At 37.9% G+C, this 21158-nt stretch overlaps 1 protein-coding gene across 2 annotated transcripts in view; it reads right to left on the bottom strand.

The window, feature by feature from the left end:
- The window catches only part of GALNT13 (polypeptide N-acetylgalactosaminyltransferase 13), a 1388282-nt gene that overhangs the window by 1120598 nt on the left and 246526 nt on the right, over nucleotides 1–21158 (bottom strand). For both annotated transcript variants that reach the window (NM_001422882.1, NM_001422883.1), the window contains exons 4-5: nucleotides 3337–3403; nucleotides 2650–2740 (exon numbers count right to left, since the gene is read on the bottom strand). The gene's annotated coding sequence lies outside the window, so the exon portion shown is untranslated. The remainder of the gene's footprint in view (nucleotides 1–2649; nucleotides 2741–3336; nucleotides 3404–21158) is intronic.

Raw genomic sequence — 21158 nt, 5'->3', positions numbered from 1 at the left:
CCAAGCTCTACATTGGCCCCTTTCAGCCACAGCTGGCACAGCTGGGACACAGGGTACCAAGTCCCTAGGCTGCATACAGCACAGGGACCCTGGGCCCAGCCCACAAAACCACTTTTTTCTCCTGGGCCTCCAGGTCCGTGATGGGAGGGGCTGCTGTGAAGTTCTCTGATATGCCCTGAGACATTTTCCCCATGGTCTTGGAGATTAACATTAGGCTCCTTGCTACTTATGCAAATTTCTGCAGCCGGCTTGAATTTCTCCCCAGAAAATGGGATTTTCTTCTCTATTGCATAGTCAGACTGCAATTTTTCCAAAGTTTTATGCTTTGCTTCCTTTATAAAACTGAATGCCTTTAACAGCATACAAGTCACCTCTTGAATGCTTTGCTGCTTAGAAATTTCTTCCACCAGATATCCTAAATCATCTCTCTCAAGATCAAATCTCTAGGGCAGGGGCAAAATGCCGCCAGTCTCTTTGCTAAAACATAACAAGAGTCACCTTTGCTCCAGTTCCCAACAAGTTCCTCATCTCCATCTGAGATCACCTCAGCTTGGATTTTATTGTCCATATCACCATAGAATTTTGGGCGAAGCCATTCAACAAGTCTGTAGAAAGTTTCAAACTTTCCCATGTTTTCCTGTCTTTTTTGAGCTCTTCAAACTGTTCCAATCTCTGCCTGTTATCCAGTTCCTAAGCTGCTTCTACATTTTCAGGTATCTATTCAACAATGCCCCACTCTACTGATACCAACTTACTGTATTAGTCCATTTTCATGCTGCTGATAAAGACAACTGGAGACTGGGAAGAAAAGGAGGTTTAATTGGACTTACAGTTCCATGTGGCTGGGGAAGCCTCAGAATCATGGTGGGAGGCAAAAGACACTTCTTACATAGCAGCAGCAAGAAAAAATGAGGAAGAAGCAAAAGCGGAAACCCCTGATAAACCCATCAGATCTCATGAGACTTATTCACTATCACTTGAATAGCATGGGAAAGACTGGCCCCCATGATTCAATTATCTCTCCCTGGGTCCCTCCCAAAACATGTCAGAATTCTGGGAGATACAATTTAAGTTGAGATTTGGGTGGGGACACAGCCAAACCATATCACTTGTCATGCTCAGAGCAAGCTTAACTATTCAGAGGATAGTCCTCAAGCATGGGAGACTATGAGAAATGAACACTGTATTTAAAGAAAAAAGAAGAAAAAGACTTCAGAAAAATATGTAATCAAAATATTTCAGACAGACTATCACATTTTTATAACATGTCAAGTTACTTCATCCATAATTCACAGTGATAGAACATAAAGAAATAATTCATATCTTAAAGGCAACTAAATTCTGAAAAAACACCTAAAATTTCGGTTTGGTTCTAAGATTTCCATTTCAGTTCAGACATGAGTGGTTTGCCAAAATTAAAAAAAAAAAATCTTTATCATTTTGTTTATACAGGGTGAATGCTGCAGTAGAAGCAATCAATAAGTAAAAGCCCTTAACTTTAGTTAGCTTTCTTTTATCAATTTCAGAGATAACTAAAGAAAGCTTCTGCTGACCCAACTTTACTGGTTCAAGTGGAATAAGTCAGTTGTACTATATATAAACCTTCATTGGGAGCACAGCCTCTATTCCTAGACTGATAGATTCTCATTAAATGAATATTTTTCTTGCCTTTGACACAATGATCTATACCAACAAATATCAGAGCTTCTCTAAATTGAGACTGCAGACATCTCAATATTGCCCATTGTATTTTTCCATTCAATCCAATGAAAATTATTATCCCTATAAGTCACATAGGTTTACTTGAGGTCATCAAGGCCTACTTTTCTCATTTCTTTTTTTGTTAATGTCTTCAGTATATCAGATCTTTCAAGTTTCTGCCACTTTTCCTGAAACACTGTGTTATAACTATTTAATGTATGTATATGTGTGTACATGCATATTAGCTATGTTTTTTCTTCTAACCAATAGCTGTCTTTTAAGATTATATCTGAGTCCTTTAAAATGACTGTTTCCAAAGAAAAGACTCAAGGAAAAGCTGTGTTCATCCTAGGGTTCAGGAAAGCAATAAAAATACAAGGCTATTTGAGGATTCAAAATTAAACTCAGTAGTTTAACACAATTATTTTGGAGATGCCTCACATAGTAGAATAAATGCGTTAAAAAGCATCTACATACAATAATAAATATAATTTTTGCGGTACAAATATTTGAAGACTTTTCATATTTTTGCTTTTGAAATTATTTGGCTATGAGTAACTTTCTTAAGCTTGGTTATAATGTTTCTGGCAACCAATATGGATAGTAGGAAATTTTTGTGATGTGGAAAATATCTCATCTTCTAGGAGTTATGTAACGGCACAGATCATGAGTTTAAAACTTGATAAGACAGTTTTTTTTCAAGATGGTAGATTAGAGGCTTTTAGCCTGCCTCAACCACTTGGAAATAGCAAGATAGTGCATAAAGACCAACTCTGTGAACTTTAAATCAAGAAGGAAAATGGAAATTTCCTTCACAGAATTGTGAAGGACACCATTGATCCAAAAAATGAGAATGCCAGCAAACGGCCCTTGTGATGGCATCTGGCTACAAAAATGAGTAAAGTCCTAGTACATGAGAGAGGAAGAGCACCTCCCTCCGTGACTCACCTTTCCACTTGGGATCCAAGGGCCCAGGCCAAGGGAGAGCACTTTATTTTCCCCAAACACTGGAGCTGTCTTGGGAAGAGGCTTGAACATTCTGTGAGGGAAAAACACTGGGTAAAGCTTCAGATATTTTTCCCAATCCAGGACTGAGAGAAGAAAATTATTTTTATGGTAGGTGCATACAGTCGGCCATTCTGTGGCAATCCGCCAGCATGGCCATGCAGGCATTTTAATCTCTGGACAGGGACTGGAGCACCAGCTCTGGAGCAGGGTAGGGACCTCCATAGCCCTAACTGTGGAAAGCGTCTTAGCACTAGAGGCAGGAATTGTGCTCTTCCCTATTACAAGCCTGGGGTGGGAAGACAACTGCTATAGCTGCAGTGTCTCCTAGGCAATGAGACAACTAGAGCCAATTTAGTGACCTGGAACCAGTCTGCATGTGCCATTGACGGTTGTCTCAGCCTGTTCCCCTGTGATCATGGTACATTGGGGCTGTCTTTGCTTCACCCTAAAGCAGGTCTCCAGACATTCTGAGCACCCATGCATTGGGTTCAGCAGCCTGAGGTGCCCCACTCTTACTGGATATAGATCATTGTGCAACAAAGCCCTCTCCACTCCATGCCCAGGCAGATTTCTAGATCTCAGAGCACCAGCTCACCTGGATCAGCAGCCTGAGCCACCACATCTTACCTTCCAACAGAAGTGCATAGGGATATAGGGGCAAAGCCTTGCTCAGCATTCCCAATTGTTGCACACCCTAAGAGGGAAAGGGAAAGAAAAGAAAAAAAAAAAAAAACAATACTCTCAGGCCACGGTGGAATGAAAATAGAAATCAATATCAAGAATAACCCCATAAACAAGCAATTACACAGAAATTAAACAACTTGTTCCTGAATGACTTTTGAGGAAAAAAATTAGCTAGAAATCAAAAAATTCTTTGAAATAAGTGAAAACAATTATACAGCATATCACAATATCTGGGATACAGAAAAATCAGTGTTGAGAGGAAAGTTTATAATGCTAAAGGTCTACCTTGAAAAGTTAGATCTTATTTTAGCCATCTAACATCACATCTAGAGGACCTAGAAAAACAAGAACAAGCTAACCCCAAAGCTAGCAGAAGAAAAGAAATAACTAAAATCAGAGCAGAAATGAATGAAATTGAAATCCAAAGTTTCAAACAAAGAATCAACGCAACAAAAAATTAAAGGACAAACAAGATCAATAGATCTCTAACAAGATTAACAAGAAAAAAACAGACAGAAAATCCAAACAAACACAAGCAGTAATGGCACAAGTGACATTACAACCAAACCCACAGAAACACAGAAATACGAAACCTTCTCAGAGACTATTATGAGCACTTCTATGCACACAAACTATAAAAATTTAGAGTAAATAGATAAATTCCTGGAAACACACAATCTCCCAAGATTGAAACAGGAAGAAACTGAAATACAAAACAGGTCAATATTGAGTCCTGAAATTGAATCAGTAATAAAAAACCTACTGTGATGTTTAATACTGAGTGTCAATTTGATTAGATTGAAGCATACAAAGTATTGATCTTGGGTATGTCTGTGAGGGTGTTGCCAAAAGAGATTAACATTTGAGACAATGGGCTGGGGAAGGCAGATCCACCCTTAATCTGGTGAGCACAATCTAATCAGCTGCCAGCAAATATAAAGCAGGCAAAAAAAAACGTGAAAAGGAAAGACTGGCCTAGCATCCCGGACTACATCTTTCTCCTGTGCTGGATGCTTCCTGCCCTCGAACATTGGACCCCAAGTTCTTCACTTTTGGGGCTCGGACTGGTTCTCCTTGCTCCTCAGCCTGCAGACAGTCTATTGTGGAACCTTGTGATCATGTAAGTTAATACTTTATATATATATCTCCATCCTATTAGTTCTGTCCCTCTAGAGAACCCTGACTAATACACCTACCAATCAAGAAAATCCCCAGACCAGATGAACTCACAGGTGAATTCTACTAGGTGTACAAGGAGGAGCTGTACACCTAGTAGAATTACTGTACACCTAGTAGAATTATTAGAGCATTACTCTGATACCAAAACTTGGCAAAGACATGATGAAAAAAAAAAACATAGGCCAATATCCCTGATGAACATAGACACAAAAATCTTCAACAAAATATTAGCAAACTGAATTTAACAGCAATTTGAAAAGTTATTTCAACATGATCATGTAGGCTTCACTTCTGGGGTGCAAAGTTGGTTCAATATATGCAAATCAATAAATGTCATTCCACACATAGAGTTAAAAACCAAAGCCATATTATCATCTCCATAAACATGGAAAAAGCTTTCAATATAATTGAATATTCCTGCATGATAAAAACCCTCAACAAACTAGTCATTGAAGGAACATATCTCAAAATAATAAGAGCCATCTATGACAAACCCACAGCCAACATCATACTTAATAGGCAAAAGTTGAAAGCATTCCCTTGAGAACTGGAAGAAGACAAGAATGCCCACTGTCACTACTGCTATCCAACATAGTACTGGAAGGGCTAGGCAGAGCATTCAGTTAAGAGAAACAAATAAAAGGCATACGAATGGGAAATGAAGATGTCAAACAATCTCTCGCTGTGAATGATATGATTCTATACCTAGAAAACCCCCAAAGACTCCACTGAAAGGCTCTTGGGATTGATAAACAACTTCGATAAAGAAAGTTGCAGGATAAAAAAAAAAAATCAATGTACAAAAATCAGTACCATTTCTATATATTAATAATGTTCAAGCTTAGAGTCAAAATAAGAATGCAATCCCATTTAAAACAGACACACAAAAAATAAAATATCTAGGAATACATCTAACCTAGGAGGTGATAGATCTTTACAAGGAGAACTACAAAACACTGCTAAAAGAAATCAGAGATGACACAAACAAATGGAGGATATTTGATTGGAAGAATTAATATCATGAAAATGGCCATACTGCCCAATGAAATCTACAGATTCAATGCTATTCCTATCAAACTACCAACATCATTTTTCACAGAACTAGAAAAAGCTATTCTAAAACTCATATGGAACCAAAAAAGAGCCCAAATAGCCAAAGCAATCCTAAGCAAAAAGAACAAAGCCAGAGACATCACATTACCTGACTTCAAACTATACTATAAGGCTACAGTAACCAAAAATGGCAGTTGGCTGGTACAAAAACAGACTCATAGATGATTGGGACAGAATAGAGAAAATAGAATTAAAGCTTCACACCTACAACCATCTGAACTTTCACAAAGCAATAAAAGTAAGCAGTGGGGAAAGGACTTTCTATTCAATAAATGGTGCTGGGATAGCTAGCTAGCCATATGCAGAAGAATGAAACTGGACTGCTGCCTTTCACTATATAGAAAAATTATCTCAAGATAAATTAAACATTCATACGTAAGACCTCAAACTGTAAGAATCTTAAAAGAAAACCCAGGAAACGCCATTCTGGACGTTGACCTTGGGAAGGAATTTATGACTAAGTCCTCAAAAGCAATTGCAACAAAAACAAAAATTGACAAATGGGGCCTTATTAAACTAAAGAGCTTCTTCACAGCAATATAAACTATCAACAGAGTAAACAGACATCCTACAAAATGGAAGGAAATATTCACAAACTATGTATCAACAAGGGTATAATATCCAGAGCCTATAAGGATATTAAACAATTGAACAAATAAAAACCAAATGCCCATAATTAAAAACAGTCAAAAGACATGAACAGACATTTCTCAAAAGAAGGCACACAAGTGGCCAACAGACATATGAAAAAATGTCCAGCATCAGTAATCATCAGAGAAATGCAAATCAAAACCAAAATGAGATACCATCTTATACCAGTCAGACTGGCTATGATAAGAAAGTCAAAAAGCAATAGATACCAGCAAAGCTGTGGAGAAAAGGGAATTCTTATACACTGTTGATAAGAATGTAAATTAGTTCAACTACTGTGGAAAGCAGTTTGGCAATTTCTCAAAGAACTTAGAACTACTATTCAACTCAGCAATCTCATTACTCAGTATACAGCTATAAGAAAACAAATTGGGGAGGCTGGCAAGATGGCAGAATAGGAACAGCTCCCGTCTGCAGCTCCCAGCAAGACCAATGCAGAAGGTGGGTGATTTCTGCATTTCCAGCTGAGGTACCCGGTTCATCTCATTGGGACTGGTTAGAAAGCGGGTGCAGCCCATGGAAGGCAAGCAGGAGCAGGTGGGGAGCACTTCACCCAGGGAGCACAAGAGGTCTGGGAACTCCCTCCCCTCACCAAGGGAAGCTTGAGGGACCACACTGTGAGGGATGAAGCTATCCAGCCCAGATACTACGCTTTTCCCACGGTCTTTGCAACTCGCAGACAAGGAGATTCCCTCGGGTGCCTATACCAACAGAGCCCTGGTTTTCAAGCACAAAACTGAACAGCTGTTTGGGCAGACACCGAGATAGCTGCAAGAGTTTTTTTTCTGTACCCCAGTGGCACCTGAAATGCCAGCAAGACAGAACCATTCACTCCATTGGAAAGGGGGCTGAAGCTAGGGAGCCGAGTGGTCTTGCTGAGCGGAGCCCACCCCTATGGAGCCCAACATGCTAAGATCCACCAGCTTGCCATTCTCGCTGCCAGCACAGCAGTCTGAAGTTGACCTGGGACGCTTGAGCTTGGTATGGGGAGGGGCGTCCACCATTACTGAGGCTTGAGTAGACGGGTTTCCCCTCACAATGTAAACAAAGCCACCGGGAAGTTCGAACTGTCTGCAGAACCCACCAAAGCATGGCAAAGCCACTGTAGCCAGACTGCCTCTCTATATTTCTCCTCTCTGGGCAGGGCATCTCTGAAAGAAAGGCAGCAGCCCCAGTCAGGGGCTTATAGATAAAACTCCCATCTCCCTGGGACAGAGCACTTGGGGGAAGGGGTAGCTGTGGGTACAGCTTCAGCAGACTTAAATATTTCTGCCTGCAGGCTCTGAAGAGAGCAATGGATCTCCCAGCACAGCACTGCAGGTCTGCTAAGGGACAGACTGCCTCCTCAGGTGGGTCCCTGACCCCCATGCCTCCTGACTGAAAGACACCTCCCAGAAGGGGTTGAGAGACACCTCATAAAGGAGACCTCTGGCTGGCATCTGGCAACTGCCCCTCAGGGATGAAGCTTCCAGAGGAAGGAGCAGGCAGCAATCTTTGCTGTTCTGCAGCCTCTGCTGGTGATACCCAGGCAAACAGGGTCTGGAGTGGACCTCCAGCAAACTCCAGCAGCCTGCAGAAGAGGGACCTGACTATGAGAAAAAAAACCAAAAAACTAACAAACAGAAAGCAGTAGCATCAACATCAACAAAAAGGACCCTCACACAAAAACCATCTGAAGGTCACTAACATCAAAGACCAATGGTAGATAAATCCATGAAGATGAGAAAAAAACAGTGCAAAAAGGCTGAAAATTTCAAAAATCAGAATGTCTCTTCTTCTCCAAAGGATCACAACTCCGAGCCAGCAAGGGAAGAAAACTGGACAGAGAATGAGTTTGACGAATTGACAGAAGTAGGCTTCAGAAGGTGGGTAATAACAAACTCCTCCGAGCTAAAGGAACATGTTCTAACACAATGCAAGGAAGCTAAGAACCTTGATACAAGGTTACAGGAACTGCTAACTGGAATAACCAGTTTAGAGAAGAATATAAATGATCTAATGGAGCTGAAAAACACAGCATGAGAACTTCATGAAGCATACACAAGTATCAATAGCCAAATCAATCAAGCAGAAGAAAGGATATCAGAGACTGAAGATCAACTTTATGAAATAAAGTGTGAGGACAAGATTAGAGAAAAAAGAATGAAAAGGAATGAACAAAGTCTCCAAAAATTATGAAACTATGTGAAAAGACCAAACCTACGTTTCACTGGTGTACCTGGGAAGAATGGAACCAAGTTGGAAAACACTCTTCAGCATATTATCCAGAAGAACTTCCTCAACCTAGCAAGATAGGCCAACATTCAAATTTGGGAAATACAGAGAACACCACAAAGATACTCCTTGAGAAGAGCAACCCCAAGACACATAATTGTCAGATTCACCATGGCTGAAATGAAGGCAAAAACGTTAAGGGCAGCCAGAGAGAAGAATAGGGTTACCCACAGAGGGAAGCCCATCAGACTAACAGCAGATCTCTCTGCAGAAACCCTGTAAGTCAAAAGAGAGTGAGGGCCAATATTCAACTTTTATTTATTTATTTTTTTTTTTATTTTTTGAGACAGAGTCTCGCTCCATCACCCAGGCTGGAGTGCAGTGGCCCTATCTCGGCTCACTGCAACCTCTGCCTCCTGGGTTCAAGCGATTCTCCTGCCTCAGCCTCCTGAGTAGCTGCAATTACAGGCGCATGCCACCACACCCAGCTAATTTTCGTATTTTTAGTAGAGACAGGGTTTCACCATGTTTGTCAGGCTGGTCTCAAACTCCTGACCTCATGATCCACCGGCCTTGGCCTCCCAAAGTGTTGGGATTACAGGTGTGAGGCACTGCACCTGGCCTCAACATTCTTAAAGAAAAGAATTTTCAACCCAGATTTTCATATCCAGCCAAACTAAGCTCATAAGCAAAGGAAAAATAAAATCCTTTACAGACAAGCAAATGCTGAGGGATTTTGTTACCACCAGGCCTGCCTTACAAGAGCTCCTGAAGGAAGCACTAAATATGTAAAGGAAAAACTGGTACCAGCCACTGCAAAAACATACCAAAATGTAAAGACCATCGACACTATGAAGAAACTGCATCAACTAATGGGTAAAATAACCAGCTAGCATCATAATGACAGGATCAAATTCACACATAACGATATTAACCTCAAATGTAAATGGGCTAAATGCTCCAATTAAAAGACATAGACTGGCAAATTGGATAAACAGTCAGGAACCATCGTGTGTTGTGTTCAGGAGACCCATCTCATGTGCAAAGACACACATAGGCTCAAAATAAAGGGATGGAGGATTATTTACCGAGCAAATGGAAAGCGAAAAAAAAAAAAAAAGGCCAAAGTTGCAATACTAGTCTCTGATAAAACAAACTTTAAACCAACAAAGATCCGAAAAGACAAAGAAGGGCATTACATAATGGTAAACGCATCAATGCAACAAGAAGAACTAACTATCCTAAATATATATGCACCCAGTACAGGAGCACTCAGATTCATAAAGCAAGTTCTTGGAGACCTACAAAGAGACTTAGACTCCCACACAATAATAGTGGGAGATATTAGACAGATCAAGGAGACAGAAAATTAACAAGGATATTCAGGACTTGAACTCAGCTCCGCACCAACCCAACCTAATAGACATCTACAGAACTCTCCACCCCAAATCAACAGAATATACATTCTTCTCCGCACCACATAACACTTATTCTAAAATTAACCACATTATTGGAAATAAAACACTCCTCAGCAAATGCAATAGAACAGAAATCATAACAAACAGTCTCTCAGACCACAGGGCAATCAAATTAGAACTCAGGATTAAGAAACTCACTCAAAACCACACAACTAAATGGAAACTGAACAACCTCCTCCTGAATGACTACGGGGTAAATAACAAAATTAAGGCAGAAATAAATAAGTTCTTTGAAACCAATGAGAACAAAGACACAACATACCAGAATCTCTGGGACATAGCTAAAGCAGTGTTTACAGGGAAATTTATAGCACTAAATGCCCACAGGAGAAAGTGGGAAAGAGCTAAAATCAACACCCAAGCATCACAACTAAAAGAACCACAAAAGCAAGTGCAAACGAATTCAAAAGCTAGCAGAAATCAAGAAATAGCTAAGATCAGAGCAGAACTGAAGGAGACAGACACACAAAAAGCATTTCAAAAAATCAATGAATCCAGGAGCTGTTTTTTTGAAAATGTTAACAAAATAGACAGACTGCTAGTCAAATGAATAAAGAAGAAAAGAGAGAAGAATCAAACAGACACAATAAAAATGATAAAGTGGATATCACCACTGATCTCACAGAAATACAAACTACCATCAAAGAATATTATAAACATCTCAGTGCACATAAACTAGAAAATCTAGAAGAAATGGATAAATTCCTGGACACATACACCTCCCAAGACTAAACAAGGAAGAAGTCAAATCCCTTAATAGAGCAATAACAAGTTCTGAAATTGAGGCCTTAAATAGCCTCCCAACCAAAAAAAAAAAAAAAAAAAAAAAAAAAACCCAGGTCCAGAGGGATTCACAGCCAAATTCTGCCAGAGGTACTAAGAGGAGCTGGTACCATTCCTTCTTAAAGTATTCCAAACAATAGAAAAAGAAGGACTTCTTCCTAAATCATTGTATGAGAGCAGCATCATCCTTATAACAAAACCTGGTGGAGACACAACAAAAAAAGAAAATTCAGGCCAATATCCCTGATGAACATTTTTGCAAAAATCTTCCATAAAAGACTGGCAAACTGAATCCAGCAGCACATCAAAAAGCTTATCCACCACAATCAAGTTGGCTTTATTCCTGGATTGCAAGGCTGCTTCAACATATGCAAATCAATAAACATAATCCATCACATAAACAGAACCAATGACAAAAACCACATGATTATCTCAATAGATGCAGAAAAGGCCTTCGATAAAATTCAACACCACTTCATGCTAAAAACACTCAATAAAGTAGGTATTAATGGGACATATCTCAAAATAATAAGAGCTATTTATGACAAACCCACAGCCAATATCATACTGAATGGCCAAAGGCCAGAAGCACCGGCAAAAGACGAAGGATGCCCTATCTCACCACTCCTATTCAACATAGTATTGGAAGTTCTGGCCAGGGCAATCAGGCAAGAGAAAGAAATAGAGGGTATTCACAAGGAAGAGAGGAAATCAAATTGTGTCTGTTTGCATATTACATGATTGTATATTTAGAAAACCCTGTTGTCTCAGCCCGAAATCTCCTTTAGCTGATAAGCAACTTCAGCAAAGTCTCAGGATACAAAATCAGTGTGCAAAAATCACAAGCATTCCTATACACCAATAATAGACAAGCAGAGAACCAAATCATGAGTGAACTCACATTCACAATTGCTACAAAGATAATAAAATACCTAGGAATACAACTTACAAGGGAATGTGAAGGACTTCTTCAAGGAGAACTACAAAGCAATGCTCAAGGAAGTTAGAGAGGACATAAGCAAATGGAAAAACATTATTCCATGCTCATGGATAAGAAGAATCAATATTGTGAAAATGGCCATACTGCCCAAAGTAATTTATAAATTCAGTGCTATTTTCATCAAGCTACCATTGACTTTCTTCACTGAATTAGAAAAAAACTACTTTAAATTTCATATGGAACCAAAAAAGAGACTGTATAGCCAAGACAATCCTAAGCAAAAAGAACAAAGCTGGAGGCATCATGCTACCTGACTTTAAAATATACTACAAGGTTACAGTAACCAAAACAGCATAGTACTGTTACCAAAATAGATATATAGACCAATGGAACAGAACAGAGGCCTCAGAAATAAGACCACACATCTACAACCATCTGATGTTTGACAAACCTGACAAAAACAAGCAATGGGGAAAGGATTTCCCATTTACTAAATGGTGTTGGAAAAACTGCCTAGCCATATGCAGAAAATTGAAACTGGACCCCTTCCTTACACCTTATACAATAATTAACTCAAGATGGATTGAAGACTTAAATGTAAAACCTAAGCCATAAAAACCCTAGAAGAAAACCTAGGCAATACCATTCAGGACATAGGCATGGGCAAAGACTTCATGACTAAAACACCAAAAGCAATGACAACAAAAGCCAAAACTGACAAATGGGATCTAATTAAACTGAAGAGCTTCTGCACAGCAAAAGAAATTATCATCAGAGTGAACAGGCAACCTACAGAATGGGAGAAAAATTTTGCAATCTATTCATCTGACAAAGGGCTAATATTTGGAATCTACTAAGAACTTAAACAAATTTACAAGAAAAAAAAACCCTATCAAAAAGTGGGTGAAGGATATGAATGGACACTTCAAAAGGAGACATTTATGAGGCCAAAAAACATGAAAAAAAGCTCATCATCACTGGTCATTAGAGAAATGCAAATCAAAACCACAATGAGATATCATCTCATGCCAGTTAGAGTGGCAATCATTAAGAAGTCAGGAAACAACACATGCTGGAGAGGATGTGGAGAAATAGAGTGCTTTTACACTGTTGGCGGGAGTATAAATTAGTTCAACTATTGTGGAAGACAGTGTGGCGACTCCTTAAGGATCTAGAACCAGAAATACCATTTGACCCAGCAATCCCATTACTGCATATATACCCAAAGGATTACAAATCATTCTACTATAAAGACACATGCACACGTATGTTTATTGAAGCACTATTCACAATAGCAAAGACTTGGAACCAACCCAGATGCCCATCAGTGATAGACTGGATAAAGAAAATGTGGCACATATACACAATGGAATACTATGCAGCCATAAAAAAGAAGGAGTTCATGTCCTTTGCAGAAACATAGAAGCTGGAAACCATCATTCTCAGCAAACTAACATAGGAACAGAAAACCAAACACTGCATGTTCTCACTCATAAGTGGGAGTTGAACAATGAAAACATATGGGCACAGGGAGGAGAACATCACAACTAGGGCCTGTCAGTGGGTGGGGAGCAAGGGGAGGGATAGCATTAGCAGAAATACCTAATGTAGATAACGGGTTGATGGATGCAGCAAACCACCATAGCACATGTATACCTATGTAACATACCTGCACATTCTGCACATATATCCCAGAACTTAAAGTATAATAAATAAATAAATCATTCTACCAATAAGAAACATGTACTCACATGTTTGTCAAAGCATTATTCACAATAACGAAAGACATGTAATCTATCTAGGTTTCCATCAGTGATGGAATGGATAAAGAAAACATGATACATATATGCCACGGAATACTACATAGCCATACAAAAGAACAAAATCATGCCCTTTGCAGCAACATGGATTCAGCTGGAGGCCATTATCCTAAGGAAATTAAGGCAGAAACAGAAAACCAAATACTTCATGTTCTCACTTTTAAGTGGGAGCTAAACAATGGGTACTCATGGACACAAAGTTGGCAACAGTAGAAACTGGGGACTACTAGAGTGGAGAGGTGGGGAGGGTTGAAAAAACATTAGATACTATGCCCAGTACCTCGGCCATTTGTAATCCAAACCTTAGCATCACTCAATGTACCAAAGTAACAAACCTTCACATGTATCCCCTGAACCTAAAACAAAAGTTGAAAAAAAAATTCATAGTTTTTCCGTACTTAAATTTACACACACACACACACACACACACACAACTTTACACACAAAATATGTTAAACATCTCTATGTACCACTTCAGACTCTTAGACTCACTTGACTCTTTTTCCTCATGAAACCTTTTGCATTTCTCACTGGGCAGTGGAAAATGCAAAAGCTTTCATGGAGGATGAGGCTTAATTTGACATTATTTTACTTCATATCCCTACCAAACACTTTGCATGTACTGCCCTGAGGCTTCCCCAACAGTCACTGCCCAGCACCCATGTATGCTCCACTGGGAAGTTTAGGGGAGTTACAGTTTGTTGTGTAAACTTTTGATCAAATGGAGGTAGATACTGGTTAGATAAATTATCTCTTTCTTTCTTAACCTTTTTGGGGGAATCTAGGCTACAATATTATTTACATATAAAATCTCTAGATGTTCTTAAGAAACAACAGTAGTTAACTTTTTATGGAATGGGATTGGTAGTGGAAAAATGAAGGTGATAGATTTTTACTTTTTTGTATGATTTTTTTGCCATTGGAAGAAACTTAATATGTGCTTATATTATGCTTACACTGAAAATTATTTAACAAATACTTACATTTAAAAACTACAGATTTCATGAAGGCAAAGTAAGCCAAAATAATTCTAAAGAACTTAAGCTGTCAAGGCCACAGCACCTATCAAGGACATTTCTAGCAACTCAGTTGGGAAGCTCCTGTTCCAGGAAATTACACATGAAAGTGGGAAGTTTTAAAAATTTAAGAGTGTATAAAATTGGTACAATCTGGACATTGTTCATTTGTGATGACATTTGACAAATAGTTTTTTAAAAAGTAAAGACAACCACTTTAAAATGTACACTATTCCCTCAGAGTAAAACATCTTTAACAATTCTGGGATTTAGCAACTAAGAAAGATCAAGCTTGTATTGATGTCCAGGAACATGTAGTACTTATATCCTGTTCTCACTCAAAACAGTAACCATGGACTCTGTTAACATGAGCTATATTAAGGCTCAGTGAATCAGTACAAATAAGTAGCAGCTAAAACAGAGCCTATCAACTCCAGATTTGGCTCAATTTGATGAGGTGGGAGGTTAGAGAAGTTTTAATTGAATGGGTTAAAAGATATATAAATGTGCCTTTTAATGAAGATTAGAAATATCTGCAAACAGAAAAGGAACTAAGAATTGAACCAAAGCTACTTATAATCATTCTCTTTTATCTTTCAGCTGAAGATATTAAGGTGAACTTTATTTGGTATAAAGTGGGAGGGAAGTGGTAATTCAGCATTATTTATTTCCATCAGTCATCATCTCACTTCAGCGAATTTTAAATTAGAATTTCCAGTATCCTTAAATGTGTCAGTGATACAGAGATATTACAATTCCATGCAAATAACATTAAAGCAAAAGTTTCCATAACTTCAGAATTAGTCCATAAGCAAATGTTTCTCAAAATATCTTTTCATAAGCCAAAGAAGTAATGTTTCTTAGCACTGTTACACTCACTCTGAGAAACACTGCCATAACCAACTGGTAGTTTTATGAAGCAATGACCTCATCTGTCATGTTCACTTTTATATCTCTAGAAGCACAGAGCTTAGGCACTCAATAAATATGCATGGGTTGACTAGGTCACTGGCTAGCCAAGTAAGTGGATGAATAAGTGAACAAATAAATGAGTGGCTGAATAAACGGGTGAATAGGTGGATAATTGATTCACTGTTTAAAAGGATGAATGAGTGAATAAATGCACATTAGTAAGTTTATTAATAGGTAAATTAATTATTAAAACACGTAAAAAATATATACAACTACGTAAAGAAAAGTGTCACTTTTTCCTGCTTTATCCTAGGGGCCATCAAGCCTAGCTGCACATTGAAATCACCTGTGGAGCTTTAAAGAAAATACCATGTGCCCCAGCCATGAAATCTGATTTCATTGATGAAGAGTGCAACCCAGTTATATGTATTTTTTAAAAAGATCCATAGATAACTTTATGGTCTAGTCAGAGTTGAGAACAGCTAGACTACTCGTTCAATCACACATTTTTTTTCAGCTCCCCATCTTTTATGGTTGGTCTCCCCTTCCACTAAAATGGCCAGTATTTTTCTCTGCAAGTATTGACTCCCACTCTCTTCCCACCCTTCCCTCTCCCCTGATTCCTTGCATGAGAAATGGGAACCATGAAAGTTAGTATGCTTTTAAAAAGCTAGTTAAACTTTTGTGCTCTTTACTTCAAAGGAATACGGTGAGGATCTATAGGTCAGCAGGTCAAAAGTGAAAAATGAATGTAGCAATTGTCAAAAATTATAAATTTATATTAACAATGGCTTTTATAGACATCTTCCTGGGGCTCAAATATCAATGAACTACACATATAGGATGGAAACAATCTTGTTAATCACTATATTTAAATCTGGCTTAATAAATGTGAACATGGCTGGGTGCAGTGGCTCACACCTATAATTCCAACACTTTAAGAAGCTAAGGCAGGAGGATTCCTTGAGGTCAGGAGCTCAAGAACAGTCTGGGGAAAGTGGCAAGACCTCATCTTACAAAAAATAAAAAATAAATAGCTACCTGGGCATGGGGATATGCACCTGTAGTCCCAGCTACTCAGAAGGCTGAGGTGGGAGGATTGCTTGAGCCAGGAGTTTGAGGCGGCAATGAGCCATGATCATGGCACTGCACTCCAGTCTAGATGACAGAGTGAGACCTTGAGACCTTGTATCTTAGAAAGTAAAATAATACAATAGCGAAAATGACACAGTCATTTGTAGTTTATAAAGTACTTGCATGGTTTCGCCCTACAATAAGGCTGTAATATATTAATAGTGGGAAATATTATTGTTTGCAATTTACAGATGAAAACTACTGAAAGATATTAAGTGATAACCAATAGCACATATTTGGAGTAATACACACAGGGATTCAAATCCTGCCTGTGATATTTACCTTTTATGTTATGAGAGGAATGTTGTATAACTTCTCTGAACCCTGGGTCCCTTATTTGTGAAATGAGTTAAAGATAACTACTTTATTGGATTGTTGGAAGGAAGAAATTTGATAAAATGTCTAAAATTACCCTCACAGTGCCTGAAAGGGAGTAAATTCTTGATAAATTAAAAATAAAAGATAACACAGCCAATAAGTGATAAAGGATTAAAATGCTAACTTTCCCCCATTTTACTACATAGCCATATCACAAAATGATTTCTAGATATTCTTACAAGAGTACATCTTAGTAATTCTGTGTCATAGATAATATTAGTGCAGATACTTTCAGTTGCATAGAAAAATCCAATTCAATGTAGCCTCAAGCAAAAAATGGAATACATTGTTTCCAGCCACTGACTAGTCCAAGGCTACATCTGACATCAGGCCCAGCTGGAAACAAAGGCTAAAACAATGTCATCCAATATCTAATTTCATTCATTCTGTCTCTTAACTCCACTTCCTCTATGCTGCATCTGTAATCAAAGGGCTCTTTCCTCATGATTGGAAAATGCCTGTCAGAGCTTACAGGACTTGCAAACCCAGTCAAACCCAATTAAGAAGAGGCAGAGTCTTTACATAATACCTCCTGTTCTGGAAATTCTATGTAAAGAGAGATCTACTCTGATTGGCTTGGTTTAGGTCACCTGCCCATTCCTGAACAAATCAAGATGGACAGAGGAATGGGACACCTTTATTGGCTTAGATCTGTTCCACATGTCCACCACCACTCCTTGTGAGCAGGGCTCCACGCCAATCACATGAATAAGAGTGGAGAGGAGCTGAATTTCCAAGCCAAAACAGTGATTCCTTGTATCAGAAGTCATGTTTATATGCAGAATGGGAGATGAATGTAAATGTCTTCCATGTCTATGTTTTAAAAGGAAAAAAAAAAAAAAACTCTCCTAATACATCTTTGCCTACCCTAGGTTGCAAAGATATTAGCACATGTTTTCTTTTAGAAGTCTTAAAATTTTAGCTTTTATTTTTAGGTCTGTGATAACATAGCACAGCCATAATTCACAGCAGGTTTTTCTGATTTCACTGTATCACTGATCCTCACAAATTTGTCAACCAGGGATTGAGAAGTACATACCCAGAGAGAATGCTAGAAAAAATCTGCAAGGCACTTGGTGAAAAAAAAAATTCTCTCTTTCCCATAAGACAAAATGTAGGGAAAAAACTAGTAATAATAGGACTTCATTGCCTATTTTCATATTTTATATTCTGATATTTTGTCTCTGATATTAGATAACTATTAATACAATATTTTTGCAAAATATATGCTATCTCAGTTGTATTGAAAATATCAAACAAGGTGGTTTTATTCACACTTTACTGAAAGTTTTAAAAGGGAGAGTAACTGCCTGGTATCAGTATGGGAAAGGCAGTCGGCTGTCTCCACCAAGAAATTATCTTGCCAGAATGAAAACCTTAGACTTTAATAAGAAAAGTTTTATCAATAATTAATTTCTCATAGAATATTGAAGATCAATTCAGAATGTCAGCATTCATTTAAAAGAATCAGAAACCACCTCAACATTAGCATAAAATATATAAAATATTATCCCCAAAGAATTACAGTTTACTTGATTAAAGATTCTCCTTACACTTAGGGTCAGCAGGTGAGAAGTCAAAGAACTTTTAAATATTCCTCATTTCTGCTTATCCACCAAGAACTTTAAAGATACAAATGGAGTGGGTTATGAACCTCTGCAGGTGTTAGGGAATGATAAAGTGTCTCTTCAATAACCATGCATTTTTGAAACATGAACTATATTGAATAAACTCTAACTTCCATCACTGCAGTATAAAACTATAGGAGCTCAAAAGCAACACCATGTTATGGTTGAATTTCTAAGGTATTTGTCTACTTGCTTAATATTACTATTTTCCCTTAGCAAGAGTTTTTAATTTTTAACTTTGCCTCTGGTTTAACCTTAAAAGTGAGAGAAAACTATATGTAGGTAGGCAAAAAAAGATAAGTTGACATTTATTTGTACCTATCTTGTTCCAAGAAGGATTTCTCTTTTTATTATTTATAGTGATAAGTAGAGATTTTCAGAGTGCAGTTATATTAATTTTGACAAATTGCACTCACCCATATAACCCACAAAGCTATTAAGATACAGAATATTTGTTGCTCTAGAAGTTGTCTTGAATCCCTACAAAGTCAATCTCTGCCACGTCACTTATTCCTCACCCCTACCTGTGCGGGCCCCTTTTGTATTATTAATTTGTTCTTCTTCACACTGAGCAGTATCTCATGTTTATTCATTCTCCTACAGGTAAGTATTTGGTATTTGGATTGTTTCTAGCTTGGGGGTTTTATGAACAGAACTGCTGTGAACACGTTGTACAAATTTTTTTTTTTTTTTTTTTTGAGACGGAGTCTCGCTCTGCTGCCTGGCTGGAGTGCAGTGGCGCAATCTCGGCTCACTGCAAACTCCGACTGTCTGGTTCAAGCAATTCTCCTGCCTCAGCCTCCCAAGTAGCTGGGATTACAGGCACCCGCCACCACGCCCAGCTAATTTTTGTATTTTTAGTAAAGACATTGTTTCTTCATGTTGGCCAGGATGGTCTCGATCTCCTGACCTCATGATCCACCCTCCTCGGCCTCCCAAAGTGCTGGGATTACAGGCTTGAGCCACCATGCCAGGCCTGTACAAGTGTTTTTAGACGTTTAAAAAAATTATTATTTCTGTTGGATAATTGGGATTAGGAGGGTTGGGTCAGAGTGGCGGTAGGAGTTTAATTTTATAAGACATTTCCAGAGATTTTTAAATTGGTTATACCATTTTATATTCCTGTTAGCACTGCTTGAGAGTTCTGATTGCCCCACATCCTCATCAATGCTTGAGATTGTCAGTCTTTTTTTTGTTTTCTTTTTTCTTTCTTCTTTTTCTTTTTTTTCAGTCCTTTTGTTTTACACTACTCCGTGGGATATGTCATTTGTATATCCCTGATTACTAATGATGGTGAGCTCTTTTTCATGTGTTTACTGTCCATCCTTTAGAAGTGTCTATTCAAACTTTTTGCTTTTTAAAAATTGGATTCTTTTTTCTTATTACTGAGTTTTAGGAGTATATTATATTGTCTAGATACAGGTTCTTAGCAAGATATAAATGGTGCAAATATTTCTTCCCAGTATGTAGCTTGCCTATTTGTTTTAATATGAATAAGAAGTTTAAAGTTTTTATAAACTCGAATTTTTAATTCTTTGGATTTGTTGAGACTTGTTTTATGACCAATCTTAGCAACTACTTAATGTGCACTTAAAGAGAACGTATATTCTGCTGTGTTGAGGTTTAGTGTTCCATGAATGTTAATGATACCAACCTGGTTGATAATTGTTCATGTTCTCTAGACTTTGATTTTGCTTTTTTGTTTGTTTACTTATTGTATCAATAATGGAATGATGGCTAAAATCTTTATATTTATAAATTTGCCTAGTTATCTTTTTAGTTTTGTAAACTGTTGCTTTATATATTTTGAACATTGTTGTTTGGTTCATTCTTATTTAGGACTGTGCTATGGTCTGAATGATTATGTTTTCCCAAAATTCATATGGTTAAACCTGCTCACCCAGGTGCTGGTATTAGAAAGTGGGGCTCCTGGGAGGTGATTAGTATCTTTATAAAAGAAGCCCCAGAGAGCTGCTTCATCTCTTCTACCATGTGTGAACACAATGAGAAGTCACCATCTCTGAACCAGAAAGTGGGTCCTTGCCAGGCACCAAATCTACCAGTGATCATGGATAACTTCTCAGCCTCCAGAAAGGTGAGAAATAAATAAGCCACCATGTCTATTAGATTTTGTTCTAATAGTCTGCATGAACAAAAAAAGGTTGTTGTGTCTTCTTAATAAACTGATGATTTATAAGTAGAAAATGTCCCCTTTCTCTTATAATAACCCTTTTCTTGAAAACTATTTGCCTGATATTAATATATTCTCTCTACTTTTCTTATCATTAGTACTTCCATGACATATATTTTAATTTTAATTAAACTGTGTCTTTATATTTTAAGTAAAAGGAAGATGTTATTTTAACCAAGTTTGTTTTTATTGATTCTATTGTTTTCTAATCTCTGTTTCATTTATTTAATCTTTACTGTTATTTTCCTTCTATTTGCTTTGAGTTTCATTTTCCCTTTTTTTCAGGTTTCTTAAGGTGGAAGTTTAGGTTACTGACAAGACCTTATTT

This window comes from Homo sapiens, chromosome 2 (assembly GCF_000001405.40).
Source record: "Homo sapiens chromosome 2, GRCh38.p14 Primary Assembly".
Classification (NCBI taxonomy): domain Eukaryota; kingdom Metazoa; phylum Chordata; class Mammalia; order Primates; family Hominidae; genus Homo; species Homo sapiens.
This window is presented reverse-complemented; position numbering and strand designations above follow the sequence as displayed.